The sequence below is a fragment of the Homo sapiens genome, chromosome 12 (assembly GCF_000001405.40).
Source record: "Homo sapiens chromosome 12, GRCh38.p14 Primary Assembly".
NCBI lineage: Eukaryota > Metazoa > Chordata > Mammalia > Primates > Hominidae > Homo > Homo sapiens.
In genome coordinates, this window is record NC_000012.12 from 101,080,124 (window position 1) to 101,104,067 (window position 23,944).

The 23,944-nt window shown below is 38.6% G+C and overlaps 1 protein-coding gene across 16 annotated transcripts in view, besides 1 other annotated feature; it reads left to right on the plus strand.

Annotated features, from left to right (window-relative positions):
• The window catches only part of ANO4 (anoctamin 4), a 411,381-nt gene that overhangs the window by 362,863 nt on the left and 24,574 nt on the right, over positions 1-23,944 (plus strand). For all 16 annotated transcript variants that reach the window (XM_011537912.3, XM_011537911.3, XM_047428302.1 and 13 more), the window contains 7 exons: positions 3,555-3,695; positions 6,537-6,701; positions 14,133-14,169; positions 16,413-16,524; positions 17,528-17,585; positions 17,725-17,822; positions 19,455-19,597. In XM_011537912.3, the coding sequence (XP_011536214.2) occupies positions 3,555-3,695; positions 6,537-6,701; positions 14,133-14,169; positions 16,413-16,524; positions 17,528-17,585; positions 17,725-17,822; positions 19,455-19,597 (754 nt within the window). The remainder of the gene's footprint in view (positions 1-3,554; positions 3,696-6,536; positions 6,702-14,132; positions 14,170-16,412; positions 16,525-17,527; positions 17,586-17,724; positions 17,823-19,454; positions 19,598-23,944) is intronic.
• Positions 21,220-21,425: a silencer, noted in NCBI's record as "fragment chr12:101495121-101495326 (GRCh37/hg19 assembly coordinates)". NCBI's record gives its function as "represses an EF-1alpha promoter that drives an FKBP-Casp9 reporter gene in an ReSE screen in K562 erythroleukemia cells {active_cell/tissue: K562}" and the evidence as "EXISTENCE:reporter gene assay evidence [ECO:0000049][PMID:32094911]".

A 23,944-nucleotide genomic window follows, 5' to 3' on the forward strand; every position in this document is an offset into this window, starting at 1 on the left:
ATCATGGCTATTAATATGTGTTTTCCTTGAAGGGAACACATGTATATATTTTCATGTATAAAAAAGAATCTTTCAGAAATATGAACGATGTGAATTTTAGCCCTGTGGTAGGCTTGGTGGGGGAAGTAATTCTGAGAGGTATTTTTGTTGTTGTTGTTTGTTTCCTTCACACTATGCCTCCTCAATGGCTGCCTGTTCCCCTTCTCCCATGAACATGTTTGGGTAGTTTTTTGGTTTGGTTTGGTTTGGTTTTGAATGTACTTCAGGTGTACAACAGGAGGTTTTGATACATGACACTGAGATTTTCAGCAATCCTTGTTCTCCTGATAAGGCTTTCTTTCATGTTTTTATAAATATTCTCCAGGCCAGGTGCGGTTGCTCACACCTGTAATCCCAGCACTTTGGGAGGCCAAGGAAGGGGTACCACTTCAGGCCAGGAGGAGGATTTGAGGATAGCTTATAGATGGCCATCTTCTCCCTGTGTCTTCAGGCCAGGAGTTCGAGACCAGCCTGGCCAATATGGTGAAACCCCATCACTACTAAAAACACAAAAATTAGCTGGGTGTGGTGGCATGCAGCTGTGATCCCAGCTACTTGGGAGGCTGAGGCACAAGAATTGCTTGAACCCAGAAGGTGGAGGTTGCAGTGAGCCAAGATTGCACCACTGCACTCCAGCCTGAGTGACAGAGTGAGACCCTGTCTCAAATAAATAATGTGTATATATATTTTTTCTAGGTTCTAGATATATATATATATATATTATATATATATATATATACATACACATATACATATATATAAATAGATTTTCTTCAAGTGGCCAATTTTCAAACATATATATATATGTGTATATATATCTAGAACCTAGAAAAAAAATATACATATATATATGTATGTGAGTGTGTGTATGTGTGTGTGTGTGTGTATACATATATATTCTAGGTTTGAAGAAGCTTCCCAGGCTGACTATGACATCTATTGGTAGCAGCCGGACTGCATTCAGAAATTCCTCTTGTGTGGTGCCATTCTGCTGTTTCTGGTTATATGTGTTCATGGGAACAGTTCCCAGTGGGATGGAAAATATTCTTTCCTGGGAATCACCTTGGGCAATTTACTTCACCTTTGGACTTTAAAAATCTCTAATGAAAAGAAGTGGGACTAAATTTTCCCCTTCTATCTGTAAAGTGTGGCCCTATTTGAGTAACTTTGACTAAACCAGTCTACAATCATTGTTGGCGTTTGTGGTGGGCCCCTGATGTGGGCACCCTTCTGGGGAACGTATGTATCCCTTATAAGTGTGGAGCCTTCTGTCTTCCCAGCCCCTGATAAAAAGCGTGGAGTGCTGAATTGTCCTCTCACTCTGCATACCTTTGTACAGGAGCCTACATACGTAGCCATTCCCAGCTTGGGATTCCTTGTGGAAATGCCTCACTTCTAGCCCATGATTTCTACCTTATTGTGCAGAAAAACCCAGACTCGCTGCAGACCTTCTGGGGCAACCTCGCACATTAGTTTGTCAGGGCTGCCATAACAAAGTACCACAGACTGGGTGGCTTCAACAATAGAAACTTACATGCTCACAGTTCTGGAGGCTAGAAGTCCAAGCCAAGGTGTCAGCAGGGTTGGTTCTTTCTGAGAACCATCAGGGAAGGATCTGTTCTAGGCATCTTTTCTTGGCTTATAGATGGCCATCTTCTCCCTGTGTCTTCACATCGTCTTCCCCCTGGGTGTCTCTGTGTCCAAATTTCCTCTTCTTATAAAGACACCAGTCATATTGGAGTAGGGTCCACCCTAATGACCTCATTTGAACTTAATTACCACTATAAAAAAAACCTGTTTCCACATATGGTCACATTCAGTACTGCGGGTTAGGACTTCAGCAGATGAATTTGGGGGAAGCAAGACACAATTTGGCCTATAACACCCAGCGATATGGTTTGGCTGTGTCCCCACCCAAATCTCATCTTTAGTTGTAGCTCCCATAATCCCCATGTGTTGGGGGTTGGACCTGGTGGGAGGTAATTGAATCATGGGGGTGGGTTTTTCCTGTGCTGTTCTCATGATAGTGAATAAGTCTCTTGAGATCTGATGGTTTTATAAAGGGGACATCCCCTGCACATGGTCTCTCTTGCCTGCCACCATGTAAGATGTGTCTTTGCTCCTCCTTCACCTTCCACCATGACTGTGAGGCCTCCCCAGCCATGTGGAACTGTCCATTAACCCTCTTTTTCTTTATAACTTACCCATTCTTGGGTATTTCTTCATAGCAGTATGAAAATGGACAGATACATCCAGGAACACAGACCTGTCTCCATGATTGGCCTTAGTTCTCGGATGACTAGCTCAAGGGCTCTTGATGACACTTATGGCCCAATAAATTGAAAGTTTCCCAAAGAAGCAGAAGATTCTAGGTCTGCTATGTTTATCTCCTCAAGTATAACTGCCTAAAATAAATGAAAGACAGAGCCTGCTCCTAATGTATCTCCTGCTGATCTTACCCATGACCTACCCCTGAGGGAAGTCCAGCCTTGGGCTAATTCAGTGGCAGGAGCCAGGCTGAGCCATGTGAAGGCCATCCTTCATGCTACATGGGCAGGCTGCTGCCAAACTGGGCTCTCTCTCCATGACCTCTCTTCTGTCAGCTCGTTCCTTGCTTTCTGCCAGTACCTTCATCCGAATCTTGACCATTTCTGCCTGGATTAACTCAATCTCCATTTCAGCAGAGTTTCTGCTCATTTGCCATCCTCTCCCAACACTCTCAAACATAATGCATGCTTAATTAACGGGAACCACATCAGGTTCCCTTGCTGATTGCCTTTTCCTAATCTCATAATTGGTTTTTAGTCAGAAGCTTTTCACATTCAGGAGGCTCAGCTAAATGAAATAAAATCTCAGTTTGATTTAGAATTGGAGGAACCTTGATTTTAACTGGTTTTGAAAGGTGCTTACCTTGTTTTCAATTAAGAATTAAGAATATACCTAAAGTCTATTGGTTAAAGATGAATGACTCCTATAGGAACTTATTAAAAAGTAGATTCACCATGTTTTTAGTGAACTAAACCTAAAAATGCAAAAAAAAATTGCTGGAGAAAACTAAGAATTATATTGTCATTATAACTTACAAAATGGATTTTGAACATTTTCCTGTAGAGAAGCCTTCTTTGTCCTGGTGTTTCTTATCACTCTCTGGTAATAAAAGTAAAAGCTTATTAGTTGTTCCAAACCATTAGGACAGGACAGCTTGTCCCTTTTAAAATACCATTCTCAGGGTGGTTTTTTCTTCAAGGTTAGTTTTATAAGATAACAGATAAATGTAACTGTTAGTCCAAATTTCTTTGCTTTTGATGATAGTAAATCTTGATCTTCACTCTTTAGATTTTCTTCAAGTGGCCAATTTTCAAACATTTAAGCCTGGGCACCCAAACCCACTTCATTGGTTGACTAATTAGTGTGGCAGCTGTTGACTCTGTTTTATGGTGGGGTAAAATGATATTTCTTTTTTTATTGTGTGAGCACCTCTTTAGTGCATTAAAATGTGTCTGCTTGTCCTTTAGGAAGAAATACGACCCCAGTTTGAAGCCAAGTATTCCAAGAAAGAGCGGATGAATCCAATTTCTGGAAAGCCAGAACCTTATCAAGCATTTACAGATAAATGCAGCAGACTTATCGTTTCTGCATCTGGAATATTTTTTATGGTTTGAAACTTTTAAAAAAATATTTGTTTCATAAAATACAAACCTATAGCATAATAACAGTAATCATATTGGGCATTTGCATTGTTCTACAAAATATTTTTGCACTTTGTTATTTATTCCTCACAGTAACTTCGTCTGGTGGTCAGGGATGGTATTGCTATCCCCATATTACAGATAGAACAACTGAGACTCCAACAGGTTATGGGGCTTGCCCGAGGTCAGCCAGTAGGTAGCTAAGAGCTGAGACCCTCTAATCTGATATTCTTTCCTCTTGCCATATTCTACTGTGTGATGCTGAAAGGAGTCAAAAATGTGAGACAGGATGTACAGTAGTGTTTTTCAAACTTTTCACCATGCCCATACAGTAAGAAATATATTCTCTGTCATAACCCCGAATATGCCAAGCAAGTAGATGTATAAAACAGTGTAAGTAAAACAGTGCTCACCTTTATAATATGCATAAGCTCTGATTTTGTTTTATTATAGTATATTTTTAATGACAGATTAGCCTCCTAAAATTAATTTCCTGACTCACTAATGATCATGTCAGTTTGAAAAACAGACCTCAGTTTTTAGCTTTTCCTAAAAAGCAGTCTTAGTAATTAACTTTAACACTGTTAATTACTGAACAAAACATATGCAGATGTTTCTGAAATGTCATTTTAGAACAGTAAAGGATGATTAGGATCCTCCTTTCCTTTTTTCAAATGATGAGTATATAAATATATGCCTAGACCATTAGAGTAGGAAGGACAAGACTATAGCAAATTCAGACAGGCTACTCCCTTTTTCCAGTGAAGAAACTGGGGAGATGAAGGGCTGGGCAGCTTACCCAGACTCCTTGGCTCAGACCAAGATTCAAATCCATGCCTGTCTACAGATACTGCTTTTAAGCAACTGTGTCATGCTTTGCCTTCTATGTACATATTCATATTTATTGTATTGTTTCTTACAAAGACCCATAGACATAGATTAAGCTTTTCCTGTTCTATGGATGGGGAACTTGGAACACAGGAGGCTGGAGCTATGGAAAGGACAAGCTTGCCCAAGGTCACACTGCTGGGTGATAGCTGAGCTAGGGCTCTAATCTCTCTTCTGACTTTGAATCCAGCCAGCTGTCCATCCTACCTCATTGCCATCCTTGTCTGAATTTCAGCATAGATTTTACCTGTCTCCTGATCAACAGCACTACAATTAAGATCTGGACAGGTTTTTGTTTATTTTATTGTTATTTTGGCCAGTCTGAGCTAGGACTTGTACTTGAGCTTTTAGAACATATCTCCCTTAAAAGTAAGCAGAAAATAAATTATGTGCAAAACAGGAATACTTTTGTGAAGAAAGGAATCTCTAAATCAGCAGAGGCCTTCCTGAGGCCTGGCTTCAAGGTCTAGCCTTTGATAATTAAGTGGGTTAAGGTCTCTAAGACATGTTAATATTAGGTAATCATCTAATGAAAGTCACAAAACTTTTTGGAGTCTCAGATTTGCATTAAAGTCAGCCCTATGTGTCTGTGGGTTCTGCATTTATGAATTCAACCAGCCACAGATGGAAATTTTTTTTAAAAAAAGGTTAGTTGTAGCTGTACTGAACATGTACAGCTACATGTCATTATTTCCTAAACAATACAGTATAACTATTTACATAACATTTACATTGTATCAGGTATTATAAGTAATCTAGAGATGATTTAAAGTATATAGGAGGTTGTGTACAGGTTATATGCAAATACTACACTATTTTATAGAATGGACTTGAGCATCTGTGGATTTTGGTATCATGGTGTTGGGGGGTGGTTCTGGGCCAATCCGTCATGAGGATACTGAGGGACAACTGCATTTCATAGAGAAAGAAGATATGCTGTATTGTTCTCAAATGCCATGAAATCTTCAGGGAAACATGCTTCAGTCTGTGTGAATATCAGATTAACAAGATATGTACCTATCACGTAGTTGGTTCACTCAACAGCAAATAACTGAGCACTTACTATGCATCTGTAATTATGCTAAGGTGCTGTAGAAACCATGTGAGCAAAAAAGACTCCTTCCCTGTCCTTATGGAGCTTACTTTCTAGTAGGGGAGCCTGAGAATAGTCAAACAGATTGTTAGAAATTATAAGTAGTGTCCTGAAAAAGATGTAACCATATGGTATGGCTACCACATGACAACACGAAAAACAAATAGTCTGGGAGTCATGAAGAACTTTTATTATGAAGTGGTGTTTGAGCTGAGAAGTGAGGAAGGATGAGTAGGTGTTAACTAGGCTGTGTGTGTGTGTGTGTGTGTGTGTGTGTGTGTGTGTGTGTGTGTTCGGCAAGAGATTGGGTGGGTAGGTATTACAGGCAAAGGAAATAGTCTTGGCAATTAAGGGTGCTTAGCCCGTTTGATGTAATGAGAGAAGCTGTGGGGACCCCAGAGGGAAGGAAGAATGGTGCCCAAAGGGGCTAGAGAGAGGGTCTTGCAGGCTGCGTAAGGGTTTTGCTTTTATCCTAGAATAATAGGAAACTAATAAACAATTTTAAACCGAAGAGTGACATGATAGGATTTCCATATGAATATTTGTCCATCTGCTCAATGTATATTCTGCATTAAAAAGTGTTGTCCCATAGCTTACACAGATTCTCAACTTTCAAGCGTGTAGTTCTTTTATTTTAATTAAAAAAAATAGAAAAAGGCAAGAGAAAGTATTAACCACAATGAAAAGTATGCATTTGATTGTGATCTCTTGAGCAGTACTGCCATGGTGTTACTTCCTTTTCCCATCAGAGGATGTTCCAGGAATGTGAATCCTCTTCCTGTAACATTCCACCAAGAGGTTCACCGGGTGTCTTGTCTTCCTGCCAGATCTGCGTGGTGATTGCTGCCGTGTTCGGGATCGTCATTTACCGGGTGGTGACTGTCAGCACTTTCGCTGCCTTTAAGTGGGCGTTAATCAGGAATAACTCTCAGGTTGCAACCACAGGGACTGCTGTGTGCATCAACTTCTGTATCATTATGTTGCTGAATGTGGTAAGTGAGCTGCAGTGGCTAGCCAAACGGATCAAAATGTGTGGGCTGCAAGTGACAGTTTTCTTCTGTTGCTAAGGGGATCTGGCCTCAGAGAGGTGGGCCATTCACATAGCACTGATGTCCTGGCAGCGAAGTGCCTGGCATGAAGATGCACTTGGGTCTGAGTGCTTAAAAGTCTTGATTCAAATCTAGACTCCGGGCTTTTCTGCAGTATAAGATTGGGCAAAGCACATAACCTCTCTGAACATTAGTTCCCTTATTTATCCAATAAGATTATATTGTGAACCCCTTAAGTAAATTTAGAGAAAGAATTTAGAACACTCAGAACCTGTGACACAGCATTGCAATGTTGGTTCCTGTTTCTTTTTGATTATCAATGATAGGAAGATAGACAGTATCCAAAGCATTCCTGGCTAGGTACAGGGGCTCATGCCTATAATACCAGCATTTTGGGATGCTGAGGCCAGAGGATCGCTTGAGCCCAGGAGTTCAAGACCAGCCTAGGTAACATAGTGGGACCTTGTCTCTACAAAAAAAAAAAAAATTAATTAGCTGGTCATGGTGGTGTGCCCCTGTAGTCCCAGCTGCTTTGTGGGGCTGAGGTGGGAAGGTCACTTGGTTCAGGAAAGTGAAGGCTTCAGTGAGCAGTGACAGGGCCACTGCACTCAGCCTGGGTGACAGAGGGAGACCCTGTCTCAAAAAAACACAAAAACAAACAAAAACCAAAGCATTCCTTGATATAACCCTGCAAGGAAACCGCCAAGCTGGTACATATTGCTTTTGTTGATTTCCAGGCTTTTTCAGATAGCATATTTCAGCCCAGATTTCTTTCCTGAATCCCCAAACTCACACGTTAAACTGCCTGCTTGACCATCTCCACCTAACACTTTCAAACCCAACTCCTCATCTTCCCTCCAGAATCAGCTCCTCCCACAGCCTTCCTAATTGTACTTGCCCAGACTAAAAGTCGTGGCATTCTACTGGACTCCTCTATTTCTCTGGCTGTCTAAATGTATCCAGAATTTGATCACTTTCTGCACATCCCGAAGTCCCACCCTGGTCCAAGTCTGCAGTGTCTCTTGCCGAGATTATTGCAGCAGCTTCCTAACTGGTCTCCCAGCTTTCACATTGCTCCCTTCAATCTAGGCTCAACATGGAAGCCAGAGAGAGCTTCTTACATGTAAGTCAGTTCACATGGCTCCTGTGTTCACAAGGTGTAGTGGCTTTCCTCTCTCTCACAGTAAAAGCCTGCGAGGCCACATCTACACAGTGGCCTCACGGGCTTTCGCTCATCTGGTCTGTGTGACATCTCTGACCTCATCTTTTCTTTTACTCACTGTGATTCACCTGCTCCAGCCGCACTTGTCCTTTTGATGCTCTCACCCCAGGACTTTTTTTATTTGCTGTTCTCTCTGCCTGGAGCCTTTTCCTCCCACAGGGTCTGCATCGCTTAGTCCCTCACCTCCTTCCAGTCTTTGTTCAAATGTCACTTCTCTAGTAAATGCTTCCCTGGTCACTCTGTTTTAAATTGCAGCCCACTCCTGCTATCTGACAATTTCCCATCTGCTTGCCTGTGTTTTTTCTATAGCATTTATCACCATCTAATATGCTATATATTTTACTTATTTATTTTGTTTATCTGCCATTTCTTTTGGAATGTAGGCCCATAAGGGCAGAAGCTTTTCTTTATTTTGTTTGTTTGTTTATTTTTTTTTCACTGTTGTTATTCCCTAGTGTCTGGAACAGGGCCTGGCACATAGTAGATGCTGTGTAAATTGTTGTTGCTATTTTTTGTAGAACAAAAGTAGTGCCTGACATGGTCGGCTGCTGAGGTCAACCTATACATAAAAATATGGCCAGGCACTGTGGCTCATGCCTGTAATCCCAGCACCCCATCTCTACAAACAAAATTTTTTTTTAATTAGCCAGGTGGCACACCTGTAGTCTCAGCTACTTGGGAGGCTGAGATAGGGGGATCACTTGAGCCTAGGAGTTCACGACTGCAGTGAGTCATGATTGCACCACTGAACCCTAGCCTGGGTAACAGAGCAAGGACCTGTAAAAAATTAAAAAAATTTTAAAAGCTGACCTTAAAGGTTTGTAGTGTAAATAAGTAAAACAATGTACATAGAGTGCCAAGGACAGTTGTTAGGCATGGAGTAGATGTTCAATTAATTATAGTTCCCCTATCCTTATTTATACTGCGTCTTAAATCTGGGCCATAATGCTGAAATGCTTACATCTTTGAAAAAAGATTTTCCAAAGGCCAACTAATTTAATACTATTATCCATACAGGTTTATCTATGTAGCTTATCATTTCTAGTTCTTTAAACAATCCTGAGTTCCATAACCAATAAAACTTGAGTGATTCCTAAGAGAATTCAACCTACCCAATAACAAAGAACTTAATTTATGATCACTAGGTTAACTAGTAATCAATGAGCTAATTAAATGCAGGTAGCTCATTATTAGTATTAAAATACATAAAACATCTTTATTATTTTAGGAAAAAAGTTTCAAGACTCAGAAGTAATAAAAAAAAAAGGGCAGTTGCTGATCATTTTGACGTGATGTTTGTGCGACAGCTTAGCAAGTGGAGATTGAAAGTAGATGGTTAGCACTTCCTGTACCTCCCCCTTTTGACCCCCCACCAGGACTCGGTCTGTGTTAACTGTGGAATACACATTGTAGGTAGAGAGTGATTCCTAGTGAAATTAACCAAACAGCCATAGGTGAAATGTTTTGCATCCCATTAGGATGCAATGAATTAATGCCTACTATATTGTTATCATCTATTTCCTCCAATGTCTTAAAATTTAATTTATACATCTTCTTAACAAATAAATGCCTGTGTGGCATGGGCAAAGGCTTCATGACTAAAACACCAAAAGCAATGGCAACAAAAGCCAAAATTGACAAATGGGATCTAATTAAACTGAAGAGCTTCTGCACAGCAAAAGAAACTATCATCAGAGTGAACAGGCAACCTACAGAATGGGAGAAAATTTTTACAATCTACCCATCTGACAAGGGGCTAATATCCAGAATCTACAAAGAACTTAAATAAATTTACAAGAAAAAAACAAACAACCCCATCAAAAAGTGAGCAAAGGATATGAACAGACACTTCTCAAAAGAAGACATTTATGCAGCCAACAGACACATGAAAAAATGCTCACCATCACTGGCCATCAGAGAAATGCAAATCAAAACCACAATGAGATACCATCTCACACCAGTTAGAATGGTGATCCTTAAAAAGTCAGGAAACAACAGGTGCTGGAGAGGAGGTGGAGAAATAGGAAAGCTTTTACACTGTTGATGGGACTGTAAACTAGTTCAACCATTGTGGAAGACAGTGTGGCGATTCCTCAAGGATCTAGAACTAGAAATACCATTTGGCCCAGCCATCCCATTACTGGGCATATACCCAAAGGATTATAAATCATGCTGCTATAAAGACACATGCACACATATGTTTATTGCAGCACTATTCACAATAGCAAAGACTTGGAACCAACCCAAATCTCCATCAATGGTAGACTGCATTAAGAAAATGTGGCACATATACACCAAGGAATACTATGCAGCCATAAAAAAGGATGAGTTCATGTCCTTTATAGGGACATGGATGAAGCTGGAAACCATCATTCTGAGCAAACTATCGCAAGGACAGAAAACCAAACACCGCATGTTCTCACTCATAGGTGGGAATTGAACAATAAGAACACATGGACACAGGGTGGGGAACATCACACACCAGGGCCTGCCGGGGGTGTGGGTGAGGCGGGAGGGATAGCATTAGGAGATATACCTAATGTAAATGACGAGTTAACGGGTGCAGCACACCAACATGGCACATGTATATATATGTAGCAAACCTGCACATTGTGCACATGTACCCTAGAACTTAAATTAAAAAAAAAGAAAGAAAGAAATGCCTATGTACAGGAAGTGAATCTGTAAATACACACTTGCCCATATGTTTCGAGCAGGTGCCAGTGTTGTCAGAGTAAAACACTTCATTTAACTGGAAATCATTGATCCAGCAATATCTATTTCAAGACACAGCCTAGATAAGAGGAAGTAAACAAATTCAAAATGAAGACGGGAGCATAGGGAGTGGCAAAAGTACGTAGTTGCTGATGTTACAAAGCACCTGCTATATGCTGGGAGCTAGGCTGCTAGGCATTTTACATCTTTTGTCTCCCAGAGTGTTTTAGACTAGCCAACATGGATGAGGTAGAGTTCACACTCGAAAGCTAACACATATTATTCTTAGGGATGCCCTTGTGGTTTTTCATTTATTTTAGATATAACATGAACATCTTTGGTACTCTGATTTTCAGCCAACATCAAACTAGAATAACATAAGGTTGCTAACGCAAGAATACTGATGAGAACAGGGAATGACAAGCCATAGCAAAGAGAGGGAAAGAAAAGAAAAAATGTACATAAGAACTCTAAAAGCAGCATCAACCAGGACCTCTTTGTGCAGGGGCCAGTTATCTTACCCTCCTCAGCTATCTGTGATGATGTCTCATCCCCGCACACACATTTACACTCCTGTCCCCTGAGGTTTTGTGGGTACCATTATGAGGGCAACCAAATGTGTAATATAGTTGGAATGGTTTCATCAGAACATCTTAAAAAAATTTTAAGTCGTTTCTATCAGCATAAGGGATGACAGACTAAAGGTTGTAATATAGCTTTGACCAGTTCAGAAGTAAACTCTCCAGTGGCTTCTGAAATTACTCAATGTGAGATATTATCGTGACCCAATATAGATTTTTTACAGCTGTCTATTGTTTTCAACTACTTAACATATTGACCATACTTTTCTTCCAAAGGTAATCATTATTTAGACATTAATTATTAATAATTTTTATCAACTAAATATAAAAACCTTGAGAGCTAGATTAAAGACTCTGATTTTTTAATAATTATTATAAATCACATATCCCATTTCTGACTTTTTGCTAGATTTGTCCAGTGCTAACTAAAATAACTAAAATATTTTTATATAGTATTTACTTTAAAATTTATATTATTTTTACAAAAGCCCTCTAGGTCCTAATGAAATATTATGCCTCTTAATGGCTGGTTAAGGGGCACTTAGTAGTTCACATTTTATTCCGTGTCTTGAAAAATAAATATTTCAAAGATAGAGTGAATAGAAGTGAATAGGATGGAATTTCTTGTTCCCGATCATATTGTCTCAATTCTGTTCTGCTTCACTAGTGACCGAAAAACATCCCAATATGGTGGTTGCAAGCCAAATAGGCCAACAAAGGCTATATCCCAGGAATAGACTAAAAAGTTATTATCATCCTTTTTATCCAGCCATGCCAATCTGAATCAGATATTTAATTATACTATAAACACATCTCATCTTCCAAAAAAAAAAAAGTAAAAGTACACCAGATAATATAGCTTGCATCAGAGCAAGTCCACATTTATTGATCAGCCTGGCAAGATAAAAGTAGAAGTACACACAGCTTCCTTTTGGACATATCTGTAAGATCAGAAAGCTTTCTGCCGGTTACAGATATTCACAATGAGAATTTGCAGCATCCAGTTTGGAAACTTAGATTTTCCACTGCTCTTAGCAGAACAAACTTCCCGTGGTTTATCTCTCAACCGTCTAATGAGAAATCAGACATTTTTCCAGAAACCACTCATGTGGAGATCTCTGAGCGGCTGTGAGTCCCTCTGTGTGTGTGCCCTTCCCTCCTGCATCCTGTCCAATGTCTCACAGTCCATATCCTTATATGTATATCCTTCAGCATATATATGAAGTAGTCACAGATGCCATGGATCCCTACTGTGTCCCTGTATGCTTTACCTTATTTTTCACAAGGTTAATATTACTCATATGTTGACTCTTATGTTGTTCCTTTTTTTAAAATTACAATGTTTTCAGTGTTCACACCCATGTAACAAAGGCATATCCTCAGCTCCGAGGGCCTTTTAGACAAGTGTGCAAAGTGAGGTACTGTGACCTACACATCATTGTGAAAGACATAAAAGATAAACCAGTTAATCAAGAATTGTATTTTTGAGAAAGGTTGTCTCATCAGTCAAATTAATTTTCCCTGATAATTACATAATTAAATAATTGTAATGTTATAATGCCTTCGTAATACATTGTAATATTAAAATATATTTGATTAGAACATCTGTTCTTATCTGTTGTTTACTAGGATTTTGTTTTTATGATCAAATGGGTATGACTAACCTATGTCACAAGGTTTCTTATGGAAAATGACACCAATCTCCATTACCACTGGACTCCAAGAGTCTGAGATTTCTAGACATAAGATTTGTTCCTATGCCATATTAATATATCCTAATATAGCAAACCATAATTGTTGCTGAAAGTTTGGAGTCATACATACAGATTATGTTGTTTATTTCTGTAATTAGCAGAAATCTCAGATAAGAGAATTCAAAAATTAAGCAGGACAGGAAGGTCAGTAAGTTCAATACCCATCCTGCCCACATATAAAGAAAAGGATGGTCTGAAGAAGAGATAAGGAACTTGCCAAAGTCCTGTAGCTTGCTGGATGGTCAAGCTGTAATTCCAGCCTGGGCAATTTTAACCAGTGTGTTTTTACTACTTTCATCTAAATGTGTTCTTAATCTTCATATTGTTCCAGTCTATTAAACTACTTTTCCTTTTCATTTTCACTTACCGTCTTTTGTTTTAGAAACAGCACTTGATGTTTCAATTATACCCACTCTGGGGAATTTCCTAGAGCTGGATTTACCCTAGACTATACTCTCTGCTCCTTGGTACACACACGCACACACAAACACACATACACACATGCATACATGTACCCCACCCTCAGAACCATCTATTGACCAGATGGCTGGGTGAGTTAAGGATGCGTGAGTTAAGGAGGCATCGGGTCCACCAATGGAAAAGTGGAGTACCATAAGCTCTGGGAATTTCCAGTAATGTTTAATCACTTCAGTGCTTTTGAATGCTGTAATCTAGAGTTTACAGCAGTCCATAAAGAATAGGATTGCAGGATCTTACCATCAGAAGCGGGCTTAGAGATTTTACGTTCAAGATGCAGAGGTTCAGCAATATTATGACTACCCAGCACTGCCTAGAAAGCTGGTAATGAATAGCAGCTAGCCTTGTTGCCATAAAATTATTCGCCCCAAAATAAGAAGTGAGATTTTATAAATAGTTAGATAGGACCTTGTACATTTCTTTCTTGCCCTGAAAATTACGCTAATCTCCATTACCAATGGACTCCAAGAGTCTGAGATTTCTATACACAATGTTTTCATTGGTTGAGCAATGGATGCTTAATGAAATTATTTTGACTCGTGATTTGACTCCCTATTTCCTTTGTGATTATAGATTTTATAATACGTGCAGTTCATTTATTAAATGCATGAAATTTATTTTACAGCTCTATGAAAAAGTTGCCCTGCTTCTGACGAATTTAGGTGAGTGGAATCCTTTCTATTTCATAGAACTGTACTGTGGGCTAGAGAGTATGGTTCAAAGATTCCTTTCTCTAATACTGCTGGAAAGAAATAGTCCCTTTATTTTAAAATTCATACAACAAGTTTTTTCTTTGCCTTCAACAGAATAATTTAAATATGTCTAGTAATTTTTCTATATAAATCTTTAAAATCTGTCACAAACATTATCTGTCATGAGCTAATGTAATTTAAGGTAGATTTTCTCTTCATGCACAAAAAATAGCATTACAAAAGTACATTTGTATAAAGTATCCAGTATAATTTAGGAAAGTGTTCATTTGCTATTGCCTATAATTTTTGTTTAATTAAAAATGTATCAAGTTTTTATGGTATATAAACTCACAGCAAAGTTAGTTTCTTTGAAGACTGGAAGGCCAGGCATGGTGGCTCACATCTGTAATCCCAGCACTTTGGGAAGCTTTGGCAGGAGGATTCCTTGAGTCCAGGAGTTCAAGACCAGCCTGGATAAAATAACAAGACCCTGTCTCTACAAAAAAATTAAAAAATTAGCCAGGCATGGTGGCATGTACCTGTAGTCTCAGCTACTCCAGAGGCTGAGGCAGGAGGATTGCCTGAGCCCAGGAGGTCAAGGCTGCAGTGAGTCATGATCATGCCACTGCACTCCAGAACAATCTGGTAACCAGTAATAACTTGTACATTTATCACATTTTCAAAATAAAGAAATTGTCCCAATTTTATTAACAAGGTATTGGTCATTGTGCTCCATGCAGTTTGAGAAAATTACATGCTCCCGTCCACAACTTGCTTTAATGCATTCCATAAGAAGCTTGTCCAGAGGAGAAAAAACTCACAAAAGTGTTCCTATTTTTATTCATCATTCTGACAACAGATAGCATTTACTGAAACTTTCTATGAGCTGGATACAGAGCTAGGCACTTTACCTTATCTCTTTTAATGTCATTGAAATCTTCCATCACCACCAGTTCTTGCCCAAAAAGATAGAAGAGGTTTATGTCCATGGAAGAGGTAACTGCCCATTGGTAGACAATGTACCCTGTGGTAGCTTGATCCAGGCTAGCAGAAATGCCATTGGAGGTACAGTCCTGGTCCATCCACGGTGGGGACACCTGGGAACCTAGCTGGTGACCAGGAGACCTTTCCATGTAACCAGGAGTTCAGTAGCAGAAGTGAAACCCTTTAAGAAAACCCTTTAAGAATCCTGTGTCTTTTTGGCCCTCCGCAACAGTATGGCCTTGTCCTAAAACTGACATTTTAAACCATTTTAAATCAGATTTACTTTCATTCTCCCTTCCCTTCTCAGACATGCTCCCTAAAAGCATTTTGAGTTATAATTTGTGGAAATGAATTGATTAAATGAAGTATTAAATGAGAAATCAGACACTCAGGGAATGTGGAAGCAGACAAAATGCTACTGTATTAAATACATTTCATTAGACATTGCTTGCTCATAGAATGTAGCTCCTGTGAAAGGATAAATTCATTCGACATGAGATCTCTAGCTGGAGATTTGATCTTAAGGGCAAATGGATCCATGTTTTGGTTCACACCATTATGTCCAGAGAACATTTGCTTTATGGAAGTTGAAATATATGGAGATGAGATTGGCCCCTGACTGAGGTCAGGAAATTATAAGACACAGATGGTGATATGAATTAAAACCTCTAAAGATGATGCCACCTCCTTGATATTTGTCCATGAGAATGGAAAATGGGGGATAAGGGTAAAAGCAAATGAGTCAAATGCTCTTAGCCTTCTATGATAGGCATTTGACTCCCTCTTAAGCAGTAGGTTGGTATAATATGAGAACTAGAAGTTGAGACCAAGGAACTCTTTGGAGCTGGGAGGAACTAAGCCTGCATAGATTAAGAGGAAAAGAAAAGGCTACTGCAGAGAGCCACGACTGGGAATGAGGCCTCGACAGCCTGGCTGTCTATGCTGCTGGCTCTCCAGGTATCCTGTAAGAGTGGAACAGTCTAGGTATTCAATTCTATCAGATTCTTCCATAGCCACTTCTCATGAGACCCTTGTTGGGTCTGGTCTGTGAGCTTGAGGATCCTATGAGTGGTCTGTTCCACCACACGCCATCCGTGGGTAAACTGGAGTCTCCTGCAGCCTCCTCAGGACTCCTGCGTCCCCACCCTGTGTGTGTGGGGAGGGAAAGAGAGGGAGTTGAGAGGGGATGAGATTCAGCCTTTCAAACTCTGCTCACCTTTTGTCCACAGAACAGCCTCGCACAGAGTCTGAGTGGGAGAACAGCTTCACCCTGAAAATGTTTCTTTTTCAGTTTGTCAATCTGAACAGCTCCACATTTTACATCGCATTCTTCCTCGGAAGGTAAGAACCTGACCCCTGCACACCTCCCCAAGCTGAGGACAGAACACTTAGAAGGCACTGACTCGTGGGGACAGAGAAGCCCTCCCTTAGGGTGATTTATACAAAGTGTAAAAAGGGAAGAGCATCCTCCTCCCTTCTCTTCCCAAATCTCAAAACCACCTGGCATCCCAGGGAAATCATCTCCACTCAAAACTGTCTGTGCACCTTTTGTTGCTAAGATAAGCAGAGGAAAATAGTTTGTGCATGTGAGTGATGCATTGAAAACTTCTGGCCTCTGTCTGCACCTGAATCAGGCCCCTGGCTTTCCCACCTATGACGGCAGGTGGTACAACGGGGAGGGGGCTGTAGCATGTCCTGGATTCCTGACTTCACTTAAAAGGGAAGGACATCCTGACAGGAAAGGGGGCAAAAATGGGATACAGAGGATGCTGGGTAACTTTTAAATCCAGCAGTTATGAGGATTTGGGAAAGATTCCCTGGGTAGTGGTAATGTCGCATGAATTCCCTTACATCTGGAGGCATTTCAGAGGAGATGGGAACCTGGGAAGGACCAGGTATAGGGTTTTGGTGAGATCAACACAGCAGTCTCTCCTTCATTTCTAGCTATTCCAGCAGCACAAAATTCTAGGCAAATAGTTCAATAATTTTTTTAACAGCATGACTATTACTCAGAAAAATCAAATGTGTTTAAATCCAGGAGTAAAACTTCTGCTTACACAGGTCAGAGCAATTGATATGCAGCAGAAAATGTTGAAAGTCCACAGCAAGCAGCAAGAACTGGCTTCTGCTTTAGGCAGCCTGACAGAAAGGCCAGAAGAGACATGTGCCCTGGAGAATTCCAGAAGCTATGGTTATGACAGATCTGGAGGGTTTCCTAATTCCCCCAGACCTACTACTTATAGTAGCAGTCATTCACATTGGAGAATGTGCTAAACTAAATGTAATATTCGCTGAAAGCTTGGACCTAGAGCACTAATGGCTTGTTTTTCTCTGTGTGTTGAAGATTTACAGGACACCCAGGTGCCTACTTGAGGCTGATAAACAGGTGGAGACTAGAAGAGGTCTGTATTCTCCCATCATTCCTTGTTTCCGACAGACTTGCATTAAACAGCCTTAGGGCAACTTTGTGTAGATTATAAACCAGACACCCTTTCTTCCTCTCCATTGATTCTGGAATTTCTGTGTTTGCTTACCTTGCAGTGCCACCCTAGTGGATGCCTTATTGATCTGTGTATGCAAATGGGTATTATAATGGTGCTAAAGCAGACCTGGAATAATTTCATGGAACTTGGCTACCCGTAAGTACCTTAGTATCAATAATTGAGAGGCAGCATTGCTCATTATTGGCTTTTCTAGGTGTGGCAAGTAAGATAAGCAATGCAGACTCAGCAGTTAAGCCAGTGCGTGCACCTGGAACTAAGTGCTCACATTTAGACATCCAAAGGCAGCCATGAAAATCATAAACATTGGCTCTTCTGGGAGATTTAGCACAATTCACATGAACAAACGTGAATATTCTTTAAGGAGACTCTTTAGGCCCCTAAATATTGGATACTTGCTTGTGAGCCACTTTAAATACCTCTGACCTTTCGGGCTCCAGCATTGCAAGTCCTTAGCTATGTATGACACATTAACTACATCTCCACTCTCCCATCCTCATGGTAAGGCTGGTGATAAGATGTTGACAACAATGAGCAAAACCTTGCATCAACTTGGTAAGGATGACCTTGAATTCTGCTGTGTTTGCTCAGTTATGGTCAGTTAAGTTTTAATGGGGACATAAATCAACAATGCTTCTATTCTGCTTTAATTCCACACCTATTGGTTTCCATGTCAGCTCAATGTCTCTGTAGAGACAAAGAAAACTCAAGGTTTCAGGGAGGACCACTCAGCCAGAACGATTAGTGGGAACTTGGTTCACTTCAGAAAATCTTTTCTTAGCTCTCTGTCAGAACCAAAGCCAGTAATTTTCTGTTCTTAGATTTATTTTTAGAAATCTTGTTCCAAGTATTTGATGTTTTCTATAAAACTTTTAAAAAATAAAACATTAAACAAAAATTATCAGTGTTGTATTCTACTTTAAGATATAAATCACAATTAAAATGTCATAGACATCAAGAGAATTATATTTTATCTTCTGATAATAAGGACATAGAGCAAAATTGTAAAGTAGGCAGTTTGTCTTTGATGTTCATTCCTTTATTTGCTTCATTTCCCATGTGTTTTGTTTTTTGGCCCTTCTACTCCTGGATATCCTTCAACTTTTTCCTTGTCCTGTACAGAACACAGACCTGCCTCCAATCTGTCATTTCCTCAATGCTTTCTCATATTACAAAATGCACTCCTGAACACTGCTAAGGGTTCCTGTGCTAACCTTACCAATGCCGGGTGCATTTTACTGGGAGTCAGAGTCCCTGTGGAGAGCTCATGCCAAAAGCAAACAAGTCCAGTTGTAGAACTGCAGGTGTTTGTGTGCCAAGAGAGGAAGCATTTTGTGGGTTTGCAGATCTTTAGGCCCCTGATGTCAGAGTATACAGCTCAGCACCCATGTAGCAAGACTGCTCAAGGGTCCTAAATCAAGCCACTTAAGCCAGATATTCCTCAAGATATCTTGGTGTTGCCTTTGTACTGGGGTATCCATTTATAGATATTCTCAGTCCTCTATTCAACCCTCATAGGCAATGCCCAACATGAGACAGTTTCATGAATGATTAAAACAAGTTCATCAATCATTCTGTTTACTTGCAAATATAAATACTTGAAGTATAGACTCCATTGTTATTTTCTTCCTAACCTGAGGCTTTATTTCTTTGATAGCCTGTCCTGAATTTTTTCAAACTATTGTTTCTGTATTCAAACTCTCCTTTTTCTTATTACCTAAGTCATATGATCAGTTACATTTTTTGTAAGAAATTGATCTTTTTGCCCAGGTTAATTCAGAATTGGTGGACTAGAAGAAAAGTACGACAAGAACATGGACCTGAAAGGAAAATAAGTTTCCCACAATGGGAAAAGGACTATAACCTTCAGCCGATGAATGCCTATGGACTCTTCGATGAATACTTAGAAATGAGTATGGAAATATTCTACTTTATCTTATTAATTATAAATTTTAGATCTCCAGGTATATTCAACTAAACATATACCCGTTATCATCAAGGTCCTCAGTGCGTAGGGATTCCTAAGGCAAACAGAGAGGAAGGCATGTCCTGCTTAAACTGTGCTACACTTACATTTAAGGAATCAGATTTCTCTGGAATCAAACCGAAGCTATTTCTCTTAGCACGTATCTAAGACCATGGGCTTTGGAAGTAAATTATCTGGGTTCAAATCCCAGCCCTATCATTTATTAACGGTGAAACTTTGGGCAATTACTTAATCTCTCTTTGTCTCAGTTTCCTCATCTCTAAAGTGGGAATAATAATAAGAGGAACCATTTCATAAAGTCTTTGTGTGGATTAAATGAGTTAATGCATGAACATGACTTAGAGCAATGCCTAGCTCACTATGTACTTGGTACATGTTACTTATATCATTATTATTCTCTTATTCTTTTTGTCTTCTGGAGGGAAAGGCAAATAAAATATCTTAGATAAATTAAGTATGAATATATTTTCTTTCATTATTAAATTGAATATGTATATATTTCCTTTCATTTTAAGCTCTAACATAGGAGTGGAAATGAGGGAAGGGCTGGGCAAGAACCATTTCTTCTAAAGGTAGCAGTTCTTTCTGGTCAAATTAGAAATTTAAAGGAATAGTAGAATTGATGCTTAATGTTTCTTAAATTGCTTATGTTCTAAGTATCTACTTATGTCTTTAGAGTTTCAATTATAGAATGGAAGAATGATATAACCTAGGGAAGAAATCAATTTGGACATTAAAAATAAAACTTAATAAAGAGAATTCATTAAGAGAACTAACCACTTTGAGATCCTTAATGGATTCTTCTCCCATAAAGAAGACAATGAACAATAATGTTGGTATATTGAGTGCTTAAAAAGAACCTTTTATGTGGCTAGAATTTGGTAGTGCTCCAAATCCTGAAGTATCTTTGCAACACAAAACAAATCTCAGAAGTATCACAAGCAGACTGATGAGTTCTAACTGCTCACTTCTGTTCTTTTGTTTTTGCTATTTTCTTAATAACTTCCCCACTTTGTTATGTACTTTAAAATGTATTCACTGAAGTATAATAGTGGAAAAGTGTATATAAGTGTAGAGACCAATGAGTTTTTGCAAATTTACACACAAATGTAACCAAATATATGTAGATGAGAGGTTGGCAAACTATTGCCTGCAGGTCAGATTCAGCCCACTGCCTGTTTTTGTAAATAAAGTTTTATTGGAACACAGCAACTCCCATTTATTTACATATTATTTGTGGCTGCTTTGGCACTGCAACAGTAGAGTTGGGTAGTTGTGTCAGAAAGTGGCTGGTCTGCAAAGCCTTCTTTATTTCTAGAAAATGTTGCTACCCAGTGAGCTAGATCAAGAAATAGAATATTATCAATATCAAAGAAGACTTCTTTGTCCCCTCTTCCATTTATAACACCCTCTCTAACCACTTTCCTGACTTCTAACACCATAGATTAACTTTACCTTTGTTATTCTCCATTTAAATGTAATTGTAGAGTACATACCCTTTGTAGTTGGCTTGTTTCATTCAACATCATCTTTCTAACATTCTCCCATTTTGCTACAGGTAGTAGAACTTCATTTTATTGCTGTATAGTATTCCTAGAATGTAGACCAGGAGCCAAATTATGAAACAGGAGTTTGTCTTTGACACCCACCCTCATCTTTCCTTAGTCATGTGGGTTTTTCTGTTTGTTTGTTTTGTTTTGTTTGCATTTCCACTCCCAGATGAGCCCCAACTTTGTCCCCTGCTGCCCTGACACAGCACACAGACCCCTATACCACCATCAATCCCTCAACCCTCCACATATCATGAAATGTACTCCTGAGCACTCTAAATAATAATATGCTAGGTAACTGCATTTTAACAAAAGCAAAGCCTCTGCCAAGCTTGAGTCAGGAAAAAAAAAAAGGCAAATTCACTTGTAGAAGTGAAGACATCAGTGAGCCAAAAGATGAGCTATTTTGTGAGTTTGCAGATCTTCTAGGCTCCTGAATAATAATGTACTGTTATTGACCAGGCGTGGTGGCTCACACCTGTAATCCTAGCACTTTGGGAGGCCAAGGCAGGTGGATCACCTGAGGTCACGAGTTCAAGACCAGCCTGGCCAATGTGGTGAAACGCCGTCTGTACTGAAAGATACAAAAATTAGCTGGGCGCAGTGGCAGGCGTGTGTAATCCCAGCTACTTGGGAAGCTGAGGCAGGAGAATTGCCTGAACCTGGGAGGCAGAGGTTGCAGTGAGCCAAGATTGCACCATTGCACTCCAGCCTGGGAGAGAGAGCAAAACTCCGTCTCAAAAAAAAAAGAATGTACTATTATTTATCCATCCATTCTACTGCTGATAGACACTTGTGTTGTTTCCAAATTTAGGCTCTTATAAATAATACCTTTACGGCATTTTTGTACATGTATTTTGATTAACATACGTAGATGTTTTTATTAAGAATTTACATAAGAGTGGAGTTAGGAGGCCATAGATATGCATTTGTTTGTCTTTAATAAACACTTGAAAACAGTCTTCAAAACTGGGCTGTGCCAGTTTATACTCTGGCTAATAGTAGAACAGTTCCAGTTATTCCACAAACTTACTAAAACTTGCGTTCGTATTTTAGCCATTTGGGTTGGTATGCAGCAGTATCTCATCATGATTTTAACTTGAAATTTTATGATAACTAATAATGCTGAGCACCTTTTCATATGCTTATAGTTATTTGGATAAACTTGTGAATTTATATTCAAGCCCATGTTTTTTTTGTGGGTATCTGTCTTTTCCTTAGGGATTTGTTATTTATATATTCTGGATATCAATTATTTGTCAGATATATATGTTGAAAATTAAATATCACTTCTCAGTGGTTGGCTTGACTTCTCATTCTAATGGTGTGTTTAAATGAAAAGAAATTTCAGCTTCATTCTTCTTCAAAATTGTTGCCATATAAGTTTTAGAACCAGATTTCTAATTTCTATAAAAATCTTACTGAAATATTAGTTGGGATTAAATTGAACTCCTACATCAATTTGAAGATATTTGATGTTTCCCCAGTCCATGAAAATGGTATACCTTTGCATTTATTTATGTCTTTTTACATTTTTCTCAGCAATACTTTTTGTAGATTTTAGTATATAGGTTTTGTAAAATTTAGATTAGAGTTGTTTCTAGGCACCTTAGGAATCTTTGTGCAACTGCAAATGATGTTTTTATTGTTTTATTTTCTAATGTTTTGTTACTAATAATATACAGAAATATTGTTGTTTTGTATGTTTGCTTATGCAAACTTGCTAGCATCTAATGTCAATTAGAGTTGCTTATATATTTTTTGAGATTTTCTACCATATATACATAATTGTATCATCCACATATAATGATAACTTTACATTTTCCTTTTTAGTCATTTTATATATATATATATATATATATATATATATATATATATATATATATCTTTTTGTTCTTGCCTAAATGCACTAAGACCTTTTATATAATGCTGGATAAAATTGATGATACTGGACATCATTGTTTCTGACCTGAGGGTGAAAGTGTTCAATATGTTACCATTAAGTGTGGTGCTAGCTGTATTGTTTTGTACATACTTTTTATTATTTCCTTAAAGAAGTTTTCATATATCCCTAGGTTGCTGAGAGTTATTATCATGACTAGTATTACATTATATCATGTCATTTTTCTGAATCTATTGAAATGATTATGTGATTTTTTAAAAAATTTTACTAATGTGGTGGATTTCATTGATTATTTTTTGTTGTTAAAAAGTTGTTAAACTAACCTAGCAAACTTGGAAAAAATGCCCACTTGGGTCACCATGCATTTTTTTAATTACTAAGTTCAATTTGCTGATATTTTGCTTATGATATTTATATATACATTCATGGAAGATATTATAGTGTAGTTTTTCTTTCTTGTAACGTTTCATTTAGATTTGGGTATCATTTTTATGATAGCCCTTTAAAATGATTGGGTAATTATTTTTCTCTTAAGCAGTTTACATAAGATTACTATTATTTCTTTCTTACATACTTGGAAGAATTTACAATGAAGTAGCAGGACTTGAAATTTTCTTCACAGGAAGAACTTTAATTATAGATTTATTTTACTTAATAGATATAGGACTATTTCATTTTTTTGTTTCTTCTAGCATCTGTTTTCATAAGCTGTGTTTTAGTCATGTATTTTTTCAAGAAACTTGTTCATTTCATCTAAATTTTCAAACTTAGCAGCGTAAAATTGTTTATATATCTCCTTATTAACTTTTTATGTATCTAG